General features: G+C 34.7%; 1 protein-coding gene across 4 annotated transcripts in view, besides 1 other annotated feature; it reads left to right on the top strand.

Moving 5' to 3' along the window:
- Positions 1–20785, top strand: part of LMBRD1 (LMBR1 domain containing 1) — a 123001-nt gene that overhangs the window by 64112 nt on the left and 38104 nt on the right. For all 4 annotated transcript variants that reach the window (NM_018368.4, NM_001367272.1, NM_001367271.1 and 1 more), the window contains exons 8-9: positions 13818–13943; positions 19102–19254. In NM_018368.4, coding sequence (NP_060838.3) covers positions 13818–13943; positions 19102–19254 — 279 coding nt within the window. The remainder of the gene's footprint in view (positions 1–13817; positions 13944–19101; positions 19255–20785) is intronic.
- Positions 14095–14295: a silencer, noted in NCBI's record as "peak5886 fragment used in MPRA reporter construct". NCBI's record gives its function as "represses an SCP1 promoter by STARR-seq MPRAs in K562 erythroleukemia cells {active_cell/tissue: K562}" and the evidence as "EXISTENCE:reporter gene assay evidence [ECO:0000049][PMID:32103011]".

The raw sequence follows: 20785 nt of genomic DNA, 5'->3' as shown, positions 1-20785 counted from the left end.
AAAGTAAAACTTAACAGGCACGGATATATATGTAGATATTCTAATTTTTTGGTGCCACCAAGTGGGGAAATGTTGAATAATGATGTCTTCAGCAAAATGTATCGTATGGACCAGTGAACTGCCTATAGAAGCAGTGACTGCTAAATTGTTTACTATATACCTCTATCCATAAAACTTTAAATATGTCCACCAGGATATTTATGATTATAAATACATATTTACATATTATTATGCTAATCTTTGTACATTTAATGTAAAATATAAACTAATAGGTTAAAGAACATTAAAGTGATAAAGATTCAAATATAGAAATAAAACATTTAATATTTTCTTCTTGTACCCATCAAATGTTGGTTTGCCTCCATGTCTTAGTTCAGGTCAGTATAACAGATGTACCATAGACTGGGTGGCTCAAACAACAAACATTTATTTCTCATGGTTCTAGAGACTGGGAAGTACAACATCAAGGTGTCTGGTGTCTGGTGAGGGCCCTCTTCCTTGATTTGCAGTTGGCTGTCTTCTCATTCTATGCTCATATGATAAAGAGCAGGGAGAGAGAGGAAGCAAGCTCTATTGTGACCCTTCTTATAAGGGCATTAATCTTATTTATAAGGGATTCACCCTCATGACTCAGTTATCTCTTGAAAACTCCACCTACAAATATCACACTGGGGATTAGATTTCAACATACGAATTTTAGGGGAAAACAAACATTCAGTTCATGTTACAACACCTTATGAATCACAGCAGTGGTTCTCAATAATATTTAGAGAAAGAAATTCCCTTTAAAAGTCAAATTTCTCAGCCTATGTGATAGCATATTTCACTGAATATATGCTACCGATTGTAAGGTGCACCGTTACTTTATGTGTCACTATAAGGAAAAATCTGACAAGTTTTTCTTAATCATTTATAATCTTTGTTTTATATTTAGTGAGTGAGATTTGTTGGATTTGTCTGCATTCATAACAAGGAAAATATGAAATGAAAGGCGTTCCTAAAACTTTATATTTGGAGTGTGAGAATTCTATATCACTTTTTGAATTGGTTATTGATGTTCATGTTTTACTATACGACACAGATGGTTTTTGACTTACAGTGGAGTTACATTCTGTTAAATCCATCGTAAGTTGAAAATATTTTCAGTTTGAAAATGCATTTAATACACCTAAACTACTGAATATCATAGCTTAGTTTAGCCTATCTGAACATAATAGCTTAGTTTAGCTTATCTTAAACTTGCTCAGAACACTTACATTAGCTTACAGTTGCACAAAATTATCTAACACCAAGCCTATTTTACAATAAAATATCAAATATTTTCTTATGTAATTTATTGACTACTGTACTGAAAGTAAAAAAGAATGGTCTCATACCATCACAAAGTATGAAAATCCTAAGTTGAACCATTGTGACATGGGAACCAACTGTATTGTCTTTTATTTTTATTGATACATAATAGGTATACACATTTTCCAGGTACATGTGATAGTCTGAGGTGTTCATATAATGTGTAATGATCAAATCAGGGTAATTGGAATATCCATCACCTTAAACATTTATCTTTATGCCAGGAATATCTGAATTATTCTCTTCTAGCTATTTGGAAATATACAATAGATTATTGTTGACTGTAGTCACCCTACTGATCTATTGAACACTAGGTTGTATTTTGTCTATTTAACTGTACTTTTGTACCCATTAATCAAGCCTCTCTTCATCTCCCCTCCCTACTCCCTACCCTTAACGGCCTCTACTCTTTTAGTCATTAGTTGTAGTCACTGTGTTAGGTGAAATAAGCTGGACTCAGAAAGACAAGTTTCACATGTTTTCGCTCATACACAGAAGCTAAAAAAGTGTATTGTCTTTTATGCTATCAAGAGAATTGATGTGCAGCTTTTCTTGTGTGTTCTATTCTTATCTCTGGGATTTTCTTCGAAGCTGCCAACACACCTATCCTGTAAATTTAAGATGTTTTGCTGTTGTTTCTTGTCTTGCCATATAGAAGGGAATCCTTTTGCATATACCTAAGCAGAAAAATGCTTCTCTTTTGGATATCTTCCTTTCTTAAGCTTATGAAGCACTTGACTGTTGCTTTTTAAGAAAATACAGAATTATGCCCATTATTCTAATGAATATTTTCTTTACTACCGATGCATCTTCATTCTCTTTCTCCTGACTTACACATTAACTTTTTGCTTTAATGTCAAATCATATTATCTTTTAAGACATAAGTGGCAATTAAACTCAATAATTGTACCAAGAATGCATGTAATTCAACTGAAGTGACTGTAATGTAACTTGCTGTGACCAAATTTGTGAATGTGCATGTAGCGACAACTATGTCATGGCTTCTGCCTAGCCTTCAATTATATGATGCCTTCAATTTTTAGATGCATCCAAATTTCACTGATATTAAATGTAAGAAAATATATACGTCTTAGACTCAGTGAATACTTAAAAGGAAAGTCTTGAGTACCTGTGTTGTTTCATTAATCATAATAACATGTACATCTTTGAATAATAGATTTCACAAATATGTGGAAGACATTTATTAAGTCTACAGGTAGTATTTAGTGTTGACCCTTTACAATAATCTAAGGCCTGCAGAGTTGGAAACCAGCATTCCAGATAAAGGAGAGAGATATGTAAAGAAAACGTGCCCTTCTAAACTGAGCGGTAAAAGAAGTTATTAGGAATGTAGTTTGTATATATTATTTTAAAACATTTTAGTTTTCAAATACAGTTGGTGATTTATTCTTGGAAGTCAAAATAAATTTGGAGACAATTAGGGCCAACCTATTAATAGAAGCATTTTAAACTATACAATCTCTTTAGTTTTCTGATTTTTTTTTCTGGAAATTCACTAGAGGGCAGTAGTAAGTAATAAAAGTTTTGTGTTTCTGAAAAGGATAGCCTTTTTGTACATTAAAAAAAAAGTCTGAAGTGAAGTTCGTGAAGTTCAAAAGATTGTTGTTTAAAGACCTTAAAAGTTATAATGTTTTATATAAGGTCTATGTCAAGCTTATCATAATCTAAATATTGTAGTTAAATTTCCTGATAATTATTGAAAATGCAGTCCAAAAACAAGCTAAAAGCTTGGTAACCAAACGATGGCACCTTTCTTCTACGTTGTCTTCGGACAATTAAAAATTTAAAAATAGTGTTTTGTTCTGGTCTTATGTTACCGCAAGTTGTTACCAGAAACTTTTTTATTTTATAAAATATTTTAAATTAAGCTATTTAGAAATTCAGTTCAGCTCTTCTAATAAGTATATCAATTCCATTTAAGGAAATAACTTTGTGTGAATTAAGAGCTGTCTCTTCCTAAAAGCTTATTGGTCAATTATTATCTTCTTGGAGAAATTATTTTATTAATTTAATAATAAATGTTTGTTCTTGAAACAAAGGTAGGAGGAAAAAGAATTGGGACTTAGTCATTACATACCAGATAGTCTACTGTAGTTGTTATTAGTCTGGCCTAGAAATCTGTTCAGCCAAGTTTGGCAGATCTAGTGATAAAACAAATGTGCAGATGAATAATGTTAATATACCTATGCGTTATAATTGAGTTATAAGCAAGGGACATTTACAAGTCAGGGAAGGTTTCTCAGACGTATTGTAATTAAACCGAGACCTGAAGGGCATTAACAGTTGTTAATGAAATAAGATGAGAAGGTGGGCATTCTAGATGAGGGCACTACATGGAATAAAATGTGTATGTTGGACAAAGCCTAAAGTAGCATAAAATTGTAGTGTTTTAAGAACTATGAACAATTCAGAAGCATGAGATAAAGTTAACAAGTTGGTAGGGATCAGGTCATGAAGTGCTTTATATGTAGAATTACATTAATTAGAGTCTTTTCCCAATACCAACCAATAATTGTACCTTTCATAAAAAAAAAATAGCAAAACAACTTTTTAAAACAATTTTATATGTTCATATACATATAGAGGTTGGGAACAAGTAGAATTGCTCTGGTTAAAGTAGCAGCAGATTCCTGCATGGCTAGCTGCCTTATCTTCTGTAGTGGCCCTAGTGGCACCTTTCCAGATTCCTAGGAACTCATACCAGAATGCTTTGAAAAATACATTTATTAGTCCTGTAGAATCTTAAAGGATGTTAATTAGAGGAATGACATATATTGACTTGGGTATTAGAGTGAGATCACTTTAGAAACAGTGTAGAAGATGGATTTGTAGAAATTGAGACCAGCAGACCAGTTTAGGATAATTCAGAAGGCCTTGTGTTTGACAGTAGACTGTAAATAAGGGCCATGTTGTTAATACTGACTAGAGCAAAAGGTTCCTTGGGAAACAGTATCGAGTACTGCAGTTAGTGCATTCAGGGAACCTAATCCATCCAACACAGAATAACAAGCATTGAGGACAAATAGGCCTAGATTGGAGGTGGTTGAGGGGACAGGGAAACATACCTGCATATAAGCTGGGCTTAGCAAAATATTGCCATGGCATTTTGTTGTAAAAAGCAACATTCTTTTGGATTATGAAAATAATATGAATGATGTGGTTTGGCTGTCTGTCTCTACCCAAATCTCATGTTGAATTGTGATCCCGAGTGTCGGCGGTGTGGCCTGGTGGGAAGTGATTGGATCATCGGGGTAGTGTCTAATGGTTTAGCACCATCCTCGTAGTACTGTCTTGGGATAGAGTTCTCACGAGATCTGGGTGTTTAAAAATCTGTAGCACCTCCCACTTCACTCTCTTCTTCCTGCTCCAGCAACATATAACGTGCTGGCTTCCCCCTTGCCTTCTGCGACAATTATAAGTTTCCTGAGGTGTCCCTAACCATGCTTCCTGTACAGTTGGTGGAATCGTGAGCCAATTAAACCTCTTTTCTTTATAAATTACCCAGTCTCAGGTAGTTCTTTATAGCAATGTGAGAACGGACTAATACAATGAGTAATGAGAATTGGTAAATAATCATATAATACTATATATTAATCAGAGTCTTAAATTATTCTGTTACTTTTTATCAATAATGTTTAAAGAATATGGAAGTACTAGAATAACCAAATTAAATAGGTTAAAATGATAATAAGGATAGGAAAATCCTATAAGGAAATGTTAAAGGAACTATCAGGTACTTTAGTTCCCATAGGCTTTATTCTTTGTATTTTTCAATGTTTTGAGGATATATAATTTAATATTAAAAATATAAACGAGATGCTTTTAATTTTAAAAAATATATTTAGAGGGTGCAAGTGCAGTTTTCTGACATGCATATATTGCATTGTGGTGAAGTCTAGGCTTTTAGTGTAGCCATCACCCAAATTGTGAATGTTGTACCCAGTAGGTAACTTTTCAACTTTACAATATACATTTTAAACCCAATTATATATTTTTCCTTTTATATTTCACCAAAGTATACATTTTGAAAGTATACATTTGATAAAAATTGAGGTAATTAGAGGGAAATTACTCTACAGGTTGAGTATCCCTCCCTAATCTGAAAATCCAAAATCTGAAAGCTTTCAAAATTTGAAACTTTGAGCTCAAAAGAAATGTTCCTTGGAACACTTTTAAAAATTATTTTTAATTTTCGTGGGTACGTAGTAGCTGTATAGATGGAGTACATATTTTGGTATAGGCATGCAATGCATAATAATCACATCATGGCAAATTCGGTATCTCTTCTGTCAAGCATTTATATACTTTGTGTTACAAACAGTCCAATTATATTCTTTTAGTTACTTAATTTAATTTAATTATTTACTTTTGAGACAGAGTTTCACTCTGTTACCAGGCTGGAGTGCAGTGGCGCGATCTCAACTCCCTGCAACCTCCACTACCCGGGTTCAAGAAATTCCGTCTCCTGCCTCAGCCTCCCGAGTAGCTGGGACAACAGGTGCTTGCCACCACACCCGGCTCATTTTTTGCATTTTTAGTAGAGATGGGATTTCACCATGTTGACCAGGCTGTTCTCAAACTCCTAACCTCAAGTGATCCACTCGCCTCAGCCTCCCAAAGTGTTGGGATTACAGGCATGTGCCACCTTGCCCAGCCAGTTATTTTAAAATGTACAACGAAATTATTATTGACTATAGTTCACCTGTTGTGCTTTCAAATACTGGGTCTTACTCATTTTTTTTTTTTTTTTGTACCTAGTAACCATCCTTACCTGCCTCCCACTGCCTCACTACCCTTCCCAGCCTCTAGTAACCATCCTTCAATTCTCTGTTTCCACGAGTTCAATTGTTTTGATTTTTAGATCCTACAAATAAGTCAGAACATGTGATGTTTGTCTTTCTGTGCCTAGTTTATTTCACTTAGCATAATGACCTCCAGTTCTATCCATGCTGTTGCAAATGACAGAATCTTACTCTTCTTATGGCTGAATAGTACTCCATTGTATATATGTACCACATTTTCTTTATCCATTCATCTGTTGATGGACACTTAGGTTGTTTCCAAATCTTGGCTGTTGTAAACAGTGCTGCAACAAACATGGGAGTGCAGATATCTCTTTGATATATGGATCTCCTTTCTTTTGAGTATGTGCCAAATAGTGGGATTGCTAGATCATATAGTAGCTCTATTTTTAGTTTTTTGAGGAACCTCCAAACTATTCTCTGTAGTGGTTGTACTAATTTACATTCCCACCAACAGTGTACAAGGGTTCCCTTTTCTCCACATCTTCACCAGCATTTGTTGTTGCCTGACTTTTAGATAAAAGCCCTTTTAATCAGAGTGAAATGATAATCTCAGTTTTGATTTGCATTTCTCCGATGATCAGTGATGTTGAGCACCTTTTCATTTGTCTGTCATTTGTATGTCTATTTTAAGAAATGTTTATACCAATCTTTGGCCCACTTTTTAATATGGTTATTAGGCTTTTTTCTGTAGAGTTGTTTGAGCTCCTTATATATTTTGGTTATTAATCACTTGTCATATGGTAGTTTGCAAATATTTTCTCCCATTCTGTGCCTTGTCTCCTAATTGTGTTGACTGTTCCCTTTACTGTGCAGAAGCTTTTTAGCTTGATGTAATCCCATTTGTCATTTTTTGCTTTGGTTGCCTGTACTTCTAAGGTATTACTTAAGAAGCTTTATCCAGACCAATGTCCTGGAGAATTTCTCCAATGTTTTCTTGAAGTCGTTTCATAGTATGAGGTCTTTGATCTTAGGTCTTCAATTCATTTTGATTTGATTTTTGTATGTGGCAAGAGATAGGGGTCTAGATTCATTCTTCTACATATGGATATCCAGTTTCCCTGGCACTGTTTATTGAAGAAGCCGTCTTTTCCTCAATGCATGTTCTTGGCACCTTTGTCAAGAATGAGTTTACCATAGGTGTGTAGATTTGTTTGTGGGTTCTCTATTCTGTTCCATTGGTCCGTGTGTCTGTTTTTATGCCAGTACCATGCTGTTTTAGTTACTATAGCTCTGTAATAGAATTTAAAGTCAGGTAATATGATTCCTCCAGTTTTGTTCTTTTTGCTCAGGATAGCTTTGGTATTCTGGGTCTTTGGGATTCTGTATACACTTTAGGTGTGTGTTTTGTGTGTGTGTGTGTGTGTGTGTGTGTGTGTGTGTGTGAAGATTGTCATTGCTATTTCGATAGGGATTGCATTGAATCTGTAGGTTGCTTTGAGTAGTATGGACATTTTAACAATATTGACTCTTCCAATCCATGAACATGGAATATTTCTTCATTTTTTTGGTGTCTTCCTCATTCATCAGTATTTTATAGTTTTCATTGCAGTGATCTTTCACTTTTTTGGTTAAGTTAATTCCTAGTTATTTAATTTTATTTGGGGCTATTGTAAATGGGCTTACTTTTTTAAATTTATTTTTCTGATTGTTCACTGTTGGCATATAGAAATGCTACTGATTTTTTGTATGTTGATTTTGTATCCTGCAACTTTACTGAATTTGCTTGTCAGTTATAATAGTTTTTTGGTGGAGTCTTTAAGTTTTTCCAAATATAAAATTATATCATTGCAAACAAAGGTAGTTTGACTTTTTCCTTTCCAGTTTATATGCCCTTTCTTTCTTTGTCTTGTCTGATTGCCCCAGCTAGGACTTTCATGTTGAATAGCAGTGTTGAAAGTGAGCATCCTTGTCTTGCTCCAGAACTAAGAAGAAAGGCTTTCAGTTTTTCACCATTCAATGTGATACTAGCTGTGGACCTCACATATATGGCTTTTATTACATTGAGGTATATTCCTTCTATACTCAGTTTTTTGAGGGTTTTTATCTTGAAAGGATGTTGAACATTATCAAATGCTTTTTCAGCATCAATTGAAATGATCATGTGGTTTTCATCCTTCATTCTCTTGATATGATGTATTACAACGATTGATTAGAAAGATCATTCATTATGACCAAGTGGGATTTATCCCTGAGGTGCAAGGGATGGTTCAACAAATACAAATCAAATGAACCATCCCTTGCATCTCAGGGATAAATCCCACTTGGTCATAATGAATGATCTTTCTGATGTTGAATTTGGTTTGCTAATATATGGTAGGGGTTTTTGTATGAATATTCATGAATATTGGCCTGTAGTGTTTTTTTTTTTTTTTTTAAATGTGTCTTTGGTTTTGGTATCAGGGTCTTATAGAATGAAACTAGAACTATTTCCTCCTCCTCCGTATTTTGGAGCAGTTTGAGTAGGACTGATATTAGTTCTTCATTAAATGTTTGATAGAATTCGGCAGTGGATCAGCAGTAGGTCCTGGGCTTTCCTTTATTGGGAGGCTTTTAATTACAGTTTTGATCTTGTTACTCGTTACTTATTACTGGTCTGTTCAGGATTTGGATTTCTTCATGGTTCAAGTTTGGTAGGTTGTATGTGTCTATGAATTTATCCATTTCTTTTATATTTTCCAATTTGTTGGCATATAATTAGTTGTTCATAGTAGCCACTAATGATCCTTTGAATTTCTGTGGTATCAGTTGTAATGTTTCCATTTTCATCTTTTATTTTATTTATTTGGGTTCTGTCTTTTTCTTAGTCTGGCTAAAGGTTTGTCAATTTTTTCTTTTTAAAAAACCAACTTTTTGTTTCATCTATCTTTTTTATTGTTTTATTCCAAATTCATTTATTTCTGCTCTGATCTTTATTTCTTTCCTTCTCCTAATTTTGGGTATGGTTTTTTCTTTATTTTTCATTTCTTTAAAATGCGTCATTACAGTATTTGTTTGAAGTTTTTCTTCTTTTTTGATTTAGGCACTTAGAGCTGTAATTTTCCCTCTTACTGCTACTTTCGCTGTATCCTGTAGGTTTTGGTATGTTGTATTTCCATTATCATTTGTTTCCAGAACTCTTTCAATTTCTTTTTTAATTTCTTCATTGACCCACTGGTCATTTAGGAGCATATTGTTTAATTTCCATGTGTTTGTATAGTTCTCTAAATTCCTTTTGTTACTGATTTGTAGCTTTGTTCCATTGTGGTCAGAGAAGATGCTTGATATTATTTCAATTTTTGTGAATGTGTTAAGATTTGTTTTATAACCTAACATATGGTTTATCCTTGGGAATGATCCATGTGCTAAGGAAAAGAATATGTATTCCACAGACACTGGATGAAATGTTCTTTAAATGTCTATTAGGTCCATTTATTTTGTAGTGCAGGTTAAGTCTGATGTTTCTTTGCTGATTTTCTGTCTGAGAGATCTGTCCAGTACTGAAATTGGGGTGTTGAAGTCTCCATTGTTAATGTATTGGGGTCTGTCTCTCTAACTCTAATAATATTTGCTTTATATATCTGGGTGCTCCAGTGTTGGGTGCATTTATAATTGTTATATCCTCTTGCTGAATTGACCCCCTTATCACTATATAATGATCTTCTTTGTCTTTTCATACAGTTTTTTGCCTTGAAATCTATGTTCCCCAATATAAACATAGTTACTTTTGTTCTTTTTTTGTTGCCATTGGCATGGAATATCTTTTTCCATTCCAGTCTGTATGTCTTTGTAGGTGAAATGTATTTCTTGTAGGCAACAGATCAATGGGTCTTGGATTTCTTATCCATTCAATCAGTCTATGTCTTTTGATTGGAGAGTTTAGTCCATTTACATTCAGTGTTGTTACTGATACGTAAGGACTTCTGCCATTTTGTTATTTATATTCTGGTTATTTTACGATCCTCCCTTCTTTCCTTCTTTCTTGTCTTCCTTTTAGTGAAGGTGATTTTGTCTGGTGGTATGCTTTAATGTCTTGCCTTTATGTTTTTAAGTATTCGTTGTATGTTATTTAATTTGAGGTTACCACAAGGCTTGCGTATGCTATTTTATAACCCATTATTTTAAACTGATGACAACTTAACACTGACTACATATACAAACACACAAAAAGAAAACAAATAGAAGCGTGACATTTTAACTTTATCCTCCTGCTTTTAAACTTTTTGTTGTTTCTCTTTACGTCTCATTGTACTGCCTGTGTCTTGAAAAGTTTTTTTTTTTTTTGATTGGTTCATCATTTAGTTTTCTACTTAAGACAAGACTAGTTACACACCACCATTGTAGTGTTATACTATTCTTTGTTTTTCTGTGTGCTTACTGTTCCAGTGAATTTTGTACCTTCACATGATTTCCTCTTGCTCATTAATATCCTTTTGTTTCAGATTGAAGAACTCCCTTTAGCCATTTCTTGCAGGGCAGGTCTGGTGTTAATGAAGTCTCTTAGCTTTTGTTTCTCTGGGAAGATCTTTATCTTTCATACTTGAAGGATATTTTCACTGGATATACTATTCTAGGGTAAAATTTTTCTATCTTCAGCACTTTAAGTATGTCATGCTGTTCTTTGCTGGCCTGTAAGGTTTCTACTGAGATGCTGTCTGGGAGCCAGGAATTGGAGTAAAAACCTTAGCAGTTTACCTGATGATCTGTGGCTAAGCTGACATTCACACCACCACAATACAAAGTCCTACTTGCTCTTCCCTCCCCTTTCCACAGGCAGAGGAGTCTCTCCCTGTGGCCACCATCGACACTGTTCCATGGGGTTCCACCAGGCCACTGCTAATGTTCACTTAAAGCCCAAGGGCTCTTCTGACAGCTTGTGGTGAATGCTGCCAGGCCTGAGACTCAGCCTGCAGGGCAATGGGCTCCCTTCTGGACAGGGCATGTCTAAAAATGCTGTCCTCTAAGAGTCTAGACCTTGACTTGGGGACCTCAAGAGTCTGCTTGTTGCTCTGCCTTACTGTGGCTGAGCTGGTACCTGAGGTGCAAGACAAAGTCCCCTTTACTTTTCTCAGACAGAAGGAGTCTTTTACCACAGCCACCATAGCTGGGAATGTGCTGGATCACCCCTGAAGCCAGCATGTCCCAGAGTCCAAGGCCCACAATGTGCTTGGTAGATAACACTGCTGGTTATTGAGGGACCAGGGGCTCTTTAGTCAGCAGGTAATCAATCCTGACTACCCTTCAAGGCAGCAGATCCACTTTTGGTCCAAGGTGTGTCTAGAAATGTCATCTGTGAGCTAGGCCCTGGAATGGGGGCCTGACGACTCTGGCACAGTATCCTGTTGTGGCCATGCTGGTATCCAAGACGCAAAACAAAGTTCTCTTTACTCTTCCCTCTCCTTTCCTCAGGCCAAAGGAAAGAGTCACCTTTGTTGAGGTGAGCTGCACTTCATGGGGTTGGGAGAGGAATGGTGCAAGCACTCCCTTAGCTGTTGTCTCCCTGGGTCACATGCCACCCTAGTCCACTGTAAGCCCAGCCTAGCACTAGGAGTTGCCTAGGAATTGCAGTCCTTGTTTCCTAGACTGCCTTTTGAGTTTACCTAGGATTCCAGAGCATTTTGCCCACAGTGGCAAGGCTTGCTGAGAAACTCCAGTTCCAACCACTGGGATGAGTGATTCCCCTCTGGCTGGTGTTGGTGCAAATGTTCCTTCTATGCATGGGCACTAGCTGAGCCCAGTATGGCTCTATTGTCAACGGTGATAGGACAGCACTGAGTTCAGTGTAAAGTCCCCTTAGTCACCACTGTGCTGTCCCTCCTGAAAGCGAAAAGATTCTCTTTCCATGGTGCCTCATGGCTGCCGCTGGGGGATGGCGGAGGGGTGGCATTGGTGATTCAAGACTGTCTCTCCTGACCTCCTCAATGCCTCTTTTAGTAATATGAAGTTAAAACCAGGTACTGTGATTGCTTACTGGATTTTTGGTTCTTGTGACAGTACTTTTCTGTGTGTAGATATTAAAATGTGGTTTTCCAGTGAGGAAGATGAATGGTGTAGGCTTCTATTCCACCATCTTGTTTCATCTCTCTTGGAGCATTTCAGATGTTGGATTTTCAGATTAGGGATGCTCAATATACCAAATATACCAAAAGTCCAAAAAATATACCAAATATACCAAAATATACCAAATATACCAAATATACCAAAAGTCCAAAAAATTCTGAAATCCAAAACACTTCTAGTCCCAGCCATTTAAGATGAGGGATACTTAAAGTGTATGGTATCCAAATTACATTTTCATCTAATAGTAACAGAATCTTCTTCCACCCCGTCCTTTTTTGGGATAAAAGGGAAATAATGAGAATACTAACTTATGTTTTAATAATATTTAAAGTGCAAGGTTTTTTAAGTGTTTCTCCTTTGGAAATACAAGGATTTGGATATTGGGTAATAATTTCAGCTAGGTAAGTATCTAAATACAACGTACTGTAGAGTTGATATTACATGATAGAACTAGTTGATTTCAGGATAATTTTTATTCATGTTTTTTGTTCTTCTCCCTTAATTAAAAAAAAAGCTGATTTGTTAGAATTTATGCTTTGCTATTTGAATTGTGGTTTAAGCAATGTTTAATCATTGCATAAAAGAGATTTAGTGAAGAATATTAGAATATTAAACTAATTAAAATTAACACTAAAGGTATCTTAAGTCATTCTTGGAGTTGACAGCTAGGTAGCAGAGAGCATGAGAAAAAGCATTCAGGATCACCCAGGGTATTTTGGTGTTTGGGGTCATGCCTAAAACGTGGCATTTATCACTTCTGCTCACATTCATTGTCCTGAACTCAATCTCATGGCCCATCTAACAGGGGGCACGGGGTAAAGTGTGCCAGAAGGAAAGTGAAAAACATTTAAGTACATAATGTAGTATCCACTTCAGAGTTTGTTGCTGCCACCAGGAGGTGATAGTTGTCAGTGTTTCTGCTAAGGAAATATGGTCAGTAATGATTCTGAATAATGGTTATGTAGCAGATGCCATTAAGTATTATTAATGATTATATTAAAAAGCTGTCATTTGGGACTGGAATATGAAATTGGGTAGTATATATAATAACATGTTTATTCTTAATGCTGATTAATAAGTTAAAATTACTTGGAAAATATTTAAAATACTTAGCAAAAAGATTGGTTATAAATATTTAGAACTTTTAAATAAACTTTATAATGTAGATAATTGATATGCTAATCAAATAACATGTATATATTAAAATACTTATTTTACCAAAGGTTTACTATATATACTTGGAGAAAATTGTTTTTTATAGAAAATCATTTTTTTAAATTTTTTTACTAATTTATAGTATCTTAACCTTCGATTAGTCTGAATTTGTAATTATTACTTTGATATAAAGTATTGTACAGTAAATTTACAGTAAATTTGCAACTTAACCTTTGAGGAATAGTATTATAAATTTGACTCTGTTTAATGCAAAATAAACGGGAGAATTATGAGACAATATAATGTTCACTCCCATATACCATGTTTTCAGTGACTGTACTCTTTCACAACTGCTGACTCTTATGACTTTAAAAGACATTTTTAACCTAAAATTGTGTATAATATGTTTGAAACATTATTTCTAAAACATTTCAATTGTTTTTCTTTTAGGCCTATGGCATGTCTGCGTTACCTTTAAATCTGATAAAAGGCACTAGAAGCGCTGCTTATGAACGTTTGGAAAACACTGAAGACATTGAAGAAGTAGAACAACACATTCAAACGATTAAATCAAAAGTGAGTTGATGTTTTGGTGTAATTGGGAAGCATAAAACTACTTTGTCTTAGAGCTGCTTTCTGATATGACTTAGACATTGTCAACCCCATAACTTTTTACATTGTTTGAATTTTTTGCAGCATATCTGGTACAGTTTGACTGTGTCCTCACTTAAATCTTATCTTGAATTGTAGTTCCAATAATCCCCCGTGTTGTGGGAGGGACCCAGTGGGAGGTAATTGAGTCATGGGGGCAGTTACCCTCATGGTGTTCTCATGATAGTGAGTGAGTTCTCATGAGGTTTGATGGCTTTATAAGGAGGCTTTCCCCCTTTGGCACTTCTCCTTCCTGCCGCCACATGAAGAAGGACGTGTTTGCTTACCCTTCTGCTATGATTGTAAGTTTCCTGAGGCCTCGCAGCCCTGCGGAACTGTGAGTCAATCAAACCTCTTTCCTTTATAAAGTACCCAGTCTCGAGTAGTTCTTTATAGCAGCATAAGAATGGACTAATACAGTACCCTTACAAAACCATGTCTATATTTTTAAAAATTTGTCTTCTGTGTAATGTAGGACACTAGCAATTTGAGAATTTCTATCATTGTTCTAACACTTAAAAAACAGAAGTTTTTCTTATGTATGATCAAGAACTTACTAGTTCTCAGGTATCGTCGTTTATAATATTATATTTTACTATAATATTTATGTTCAAGTTTTATTTACTAGTTGAATAAGCTAAAGATTACATGTAACCCCTTGCCAATTAAATGTACTTCTAAAAATACTGTAAAAAGTTTTTCTTCCTCTGTCGTCTTCAAGTAACAGATAAATCTTACTCAAAGATCATGGTAAAAAAATAGCAAGTCCTCTAAATTTTTCTCCTAAGCTAGTATGATTCTGATAAATAAACCAGACAATAACAGCACACAAAAAAGAAAACCATATACCGGCTTTCTTATGAAAGTAGAAGCAAATATTTTAATACAAATAAAATATAAGTGGCTAGGTACGTACTGGTGGCTCACACCTGTAGTCCCAGATTGCTTGAGCTTAGGATTTTGGTACCAGCTTGGGCAATATGGCAAAACCCCATCTCTACAAAAAAAATACAAAAACTTAGCTAGGTGTACTGGCATGCCTATAGTCCCAACTACTTGGGAGACTGAGTTGGGACGATCACTTGAGCCCAGGAAGTTGCGGCTGCAGTGATCCATGATCGTGCCGCTGCACTCCAGCCTATCTGGATGATGGAGCAAGACCCTGTTTAAAAACAAACAAACAAACAAAAAGTAGCAATTCAAAACCTGTGCTATAATAAGAGAATATTTCATAATCATCAGATTAGGTTTATCTCAGAAATGCAAACATGATACATCAGAAAATACATTAAAGTAGTTTAATATATTGAGATTAAATGTGAAATATAAACATCTTAGTAGATGTCAGAGTATTTGCTAAAAGTTAATTTGTAGTTACATTTTTTTAAAAAGTCTTTTCAAAATAAAGATAAGAAAATATGGAAAGGAAGCCTCTAATGAGCATAATACTTAATAGTGAAAGAATAGAAACATTCCCATTAACGTCAAATATAGGAGTAATGTTAGTATCCTTGTTACTTTTAGCATATATCTGGCAATGTGAGTCAGATAAGAAATAATTTAGAATTTACATATAAGCATGGAGAGGAGGGGGAAAAAGGAAAATAACTTTTTTGTTGGCAAATATCATCTACCATGATAATCTAAAATAATCAACTGACAAACTAGTAGAACTAATAAGAGTTTATCACAGTGCCTAGATGTAAACATAAAAATCATTAATTAGTTGGAAGATGTAATACAAAATAATCCCATTCACAATAGCCACAAACTGTAAAATAATAATATATGTCGAGAACAACTCAATATATTTTTTAAAAATTCTTTGGACCTCTTTTAAATTTTCATCTGTGTCAAATTTTTATCAGAATTTGGGGATTAGATAGACTGTTTGTGAGTATATAAAATATACAACTTTTTAAAGAAAATTGAATGTTGTGACATGTGCCTGTACATATAAATACATATGTATTTTAATATTTAAAATTAATTAATAATTAAATATTTATTTAATAATTAAAGTTTAATCTAACAGTTTACCTCTAGGAAATTATCCTGCTGAATTGTATGTATATGTTTGTACCCAGGTATGTAAGAATGTTTATGGCACATTGTTAATGGCCCTCAACAAAAATTTAAAAAAGAAATAATCTGCATGTTCAAAATAAGTTGTTAAATCTAGATACCATCTTGTAATGTGCAATGATGAAAAGGAATGAGATATATTTATAAATCTATATGTAGCTTGAAGAATTATGTCATGTAAAATCAGACTATCTCAGTTCAAAATCTAGCTCTACTGATTGTGCACATAACATCTGTAGGCCTTTTTTTCTCATTTAATAAATGAATATAATACTATTATCAGCCTCAAAGAGTTATTCAGAAGATTTATGAAAAATAAATATAAAAAGAGAAGACCAGTTTTATGCACAAGAAAGGTGCTCAAGACACTTCTCAAAAGGAGACATACATGTGGCCAAAAAATCATATGAAAAAAGCTCAACATCACTGACCATTAGAGAAATGCAAATAAAAACCACAATGAGATACCATCTCATACCAGTCAGAATGGCTGTTATTAAAAAGTCAAAAAATAACAGATGCCAGCAAGGTTGCTGAGAAAAGAGAAGGCTTAAACACTGTTGGTAGAAGTGCAAATTAGTTCAACCATTGTGGAAAGTAGTATGGTGATTCCACAAAGAACTAAAAGTAGGACTACCATCCAACCCCAGCAATCCTATTAGAGGGTATATACCCAGAGGAATATAAAGCATTCTGCGATAAAGACACATGCACACAAATGTTCACTGCAGCACTATTCACAATAGCAAAGACATGGAATCAACCTAAATGCTCATCAATGGTAGACTGCATAAAGAAAATGTGTTACATATACACCATGGAATAGTATGTAGCCATAAAAAATGAGATCATGTCCCTTGCAGGGACATGGAGGGAGCTGGAGGCCATTATCCTTAGCAAACTAACACATGAACAGAAAATCTAATACTGCATGTTCTCACAAATGGAAGCTAAGTGATGAGAACACATGGACACATAGAGGGGAACAGTGCATACTAGGGCCCACTGGAGGGCAGAGGGTGGAAGGAGGGAGAAGATCAGGAAAAATTACACATATAATAAGACATCGTAAATACATTTGTATATGTGTACGTGTGTGTGTGTGTGTAAATAGAAAATTTGTTGAAGGATATTTAACTGCTTAACAGTAAAAACCATAGGAAAGGGGAATGGTAATATGGTAATTGGAGACAGACAGTGTGAAGGGAAGCTTTCATGTTTTACTTTTTTTCTTAACCAGGGGTTTGTTATTCCCTTTAACTACATTTTAACCTGTATAACTACATTTTTTCTTTCAAATGAGGTAGATGTTCACTGCTGAGTTTACATCTTAGTATTTGTTTCTCTGATCAAAATTATTCTTATATTCGTTTAGTCAATTGGCAATGCAGAATGGAAATTCATCCCTCATTCCACTGAAGCATTCACCAAGTAGGCAGATAACTTGGGTTTGTTTCAAGTGGATCCTTTAATCAGTTTACTATTTTTTTTTCTAAAATAGTGAACGCCAGCATTGAGACAAAATTACCTCATTTGTAGTATCCTTTTGATACGATAATGGAAATTTTAGGGGAAATTGTTATGGTTAAGATATAAAGTGCCGAATCCTTCTCATACCACACACTTGAAGTATTGTTACCTGGATTTATCTTCCAGAAGGGAGTGTTCATTTTATTACTCTGATCTTCAGAAAATCCCTCTTAGTTTTCGTTTTCTGGGATCCAGTGATAATACCCAATGTACTTAGAGGAATGGAATATAGTCTGTAGTATGTAATGTGTGGTCTCTGGACTAGTAGCATCTGCATCTCCTGGAAATTTGGTAGAAATTCAAATTCTAGGCTCCACCCAAGACCTACAAAATCATATCCTCTGGGGATAGGGCCTAGATATATGTATTTAACAAACTTTCCAAGTGATTCTTATGCATGAAGTTTGACAAGCAACAAGATAAGTCGTGGGAGAGGATGATTGGTTCCAGAAGATCATAGTGATGCCGATATGTAAAGAGATTGTTGTAACTGTGTAAATCTCTTTATTAAAGGTTACATAGGTTTTCTCTGCATTATAGTTATGATTTCAAATTGAGGCTGCACTAGGATACATGGGAAGAGCAATATGTTGTGTATCTGCTAGGAACCTATTTAAACCTTAATAGGAATATTAAAGACATTCTGATACCTAATATATCTACACTTTAAAAATGTAATCCTATACAAATATTTTTCTTGTTCCTGCTGATAAAAACAATTTTATATTTTACCTTTTCTGTATTTAGTAGTTGTTTTATTTTTGTACCCAATTGAAGATAGGAGCAGGAGAGTTCAGTGGGAAAGTGTATCTATGAGATATGATGAGAAAGGTACTGCTCATGGTTACAGAAAGTGTCGCGTAAAAATAGATGGAAATTATCTGTCAGATAGGTTGGCCAAAGAAAGCTTGACTCATTTGCCAAAGTACTTGGAAAACAAGGAAGTATCAGTTCTTAGCAATTGTTACAAAAACCTCTGTATGCCATCTGTGCTTGTGTTGCTTCATTCTGCTAGCATTTGAATTGGGCTGAGAAGCATCAGTTCAGGTAACATAACCACTTGACTAAAGAGAGGGAAGGGGCAGAGCCAAATATATTGAAATAAGTGATACAGTGAGTTTGGAGAGGAGGGAGAATCATTGAGCAAAGTACATAGTAGTTAACACTTCTTATCAAACATACTTTTTGTGGAATGTTTTTACAAATGGTTATCTCTCTCCACATAACTCTACCATGTATTGGGATCAAGAGGAAGGTAGGCATAAATGTACACACATCCACATTTTTATGCTGACCTTGGTTATCCTATGTTTATTGTCATATTGCAGTTGTCAGGTTTTTTTTAGTTTGTAAATTTGCCTAAAGAGTGTCCATCCTGAAAAGGTTTTGTTGCCTGATCTGCTAAATCTGCTGGGTACTTTATTAAGATGTTAATGGTAAAACTTTTATTTTGTTCTGTTATTTGCAGAGCAAAGATGGTCGACCTTTGCCAGCAAGGGATAAACGCGCCTTAAAACAATTTGAAGAAAGGTTACGAACACTTAAGAAGAGAGAGAGGCATTTAGAATTCATTGAAAACAGCTGGTGGACAAAATTTTGTGGCGCTCTGCGTCCCCTGAAGGTAAATGAAGTTTTTAAAAATTATGCTGTCACTCTTCCCCAAGTTTATGTAGTACCTCTTGGAGAGATTGAGCTCTCCTTTTGAGGCATTACAGCATGGTACTTAAAATGGATTTGGGGGTTTAATCTGGTTTTAAATCACAGCTCTCTTTGGTAGTTTGGGTAAGGTGCATAACCTTTCTGAGCAATGTATTACAACAATTGTTGGGAAATTAAAATAAAAATATAGATAAGTATTGCAATATGCTGCTAGCATATTCTTCAAGTTTATACTTTCCTATAAATTGATCTGGGACTTAGAGCTTAGGAGCCTATGCTTTCTCCTAGTAGATTTACAGATTCAGGTCTTATGTTAAGTGTTTAGTCTATTTTGATTTGGTTTTTGTGTATGGTGTAAAATAAGGGCCTAGTTTCATTCTGTTGGCGTGTTCATTTTTTCCAGCACTATGTTGGATTGACTATCCTTTCCTTAGTATGTATTCATGGTACGCTTATCAAAAATAAATTGACTAGGTTTGTGGATTTATTTCTAGGCTCTCTATTCTTTTCTATTGGTGTACATTTTTGTTTTCATGCTTTACCATACTGGTGTTTCCTCCCACTTTTATGGAGATGCAATTGTTTCTTTTAAAACTGCACATAGTTAATTAATGCAATTTGGTGAGTTTAAATATACATATTCATTTATGTTGCTATCACCACATTCTGGGTAATGGGCATATCCATCACCTCCAAAACTTTCTATGTTTTCCTTTGTTGCTGTTGTTGATTTGTTAACATTTAAAATGAGATCCATTCTTTCTAAGATTTTATATGTACCACATATTATTGTTGACTGTAGGCCCTCTCATGGCAGACCTCTGGAACTTATTCATCTTGTGTAACTGCCTCCCCTTAGATGACAACTCTTTTTCTCTCTTTTCTGCATTCCCTGGTAACTACTATTCTAATTTCTATATCTATACTTTTTCCTATTTCAGGTGTCTCACATAAGAATTGTGCAGTGTCTTTCTGTGCCTGACTTATTTCACTTAGCATAATGTCTTTCAGGCACATCCATGTTGTCACAAATAAGAGGATTCTCTTATTTTTTAAAAGGCTGAATAATGTTCCAATTATGTATGTGTGACATTTTCTTTATGAATTTATCTATTTGTATGGGTTGTTAAAACTGTGAGAAACAAAATGACTTTAAAAAAAAAAAACATAGGAACTCTGACAGTAATAGAATTTGCCTCATTGTTAGATTATGTTTCTGAAAGTATGTTAAAGATATTATTTGACATGGAAAATTATTATTTTCTTTTTTTGGAAACCATTGTTTGCCAGCCTTGAATTCTTGGGACTATGGTACTTAAACCTAATTACCTAGAATGAATTAAGATCACTTTAATATGGCTGAGACTAAAAAGTAACAAAAACTGTTGGCCACAGACTTCCAAATATGCTCATTGTATATCTGGAAGCATTTCAAACACCAGACCTTTGTATACAATAGCACACAAGTTGTAATTCAGAAAATTCAGTCAGTG

Source organism: Homo sapiens, chromosome 6 (assembly GCF_000001405.40).
Source record: "Homo sapiens chromosome 6, GRCh38.p14 Primary Assembly".
In the NCBI taxonomy this organism is placed as follows: domain Eukaryota; kingdom Metazoa; phylum Chordata; class Mammalia; order Primates; family Hominidae; genus Homo; species Homo sapiens.
Note: the sequence above shows the minus strand (reverse complement) of the source record. Positions and strands in the feature narration are given on the sequence as shown.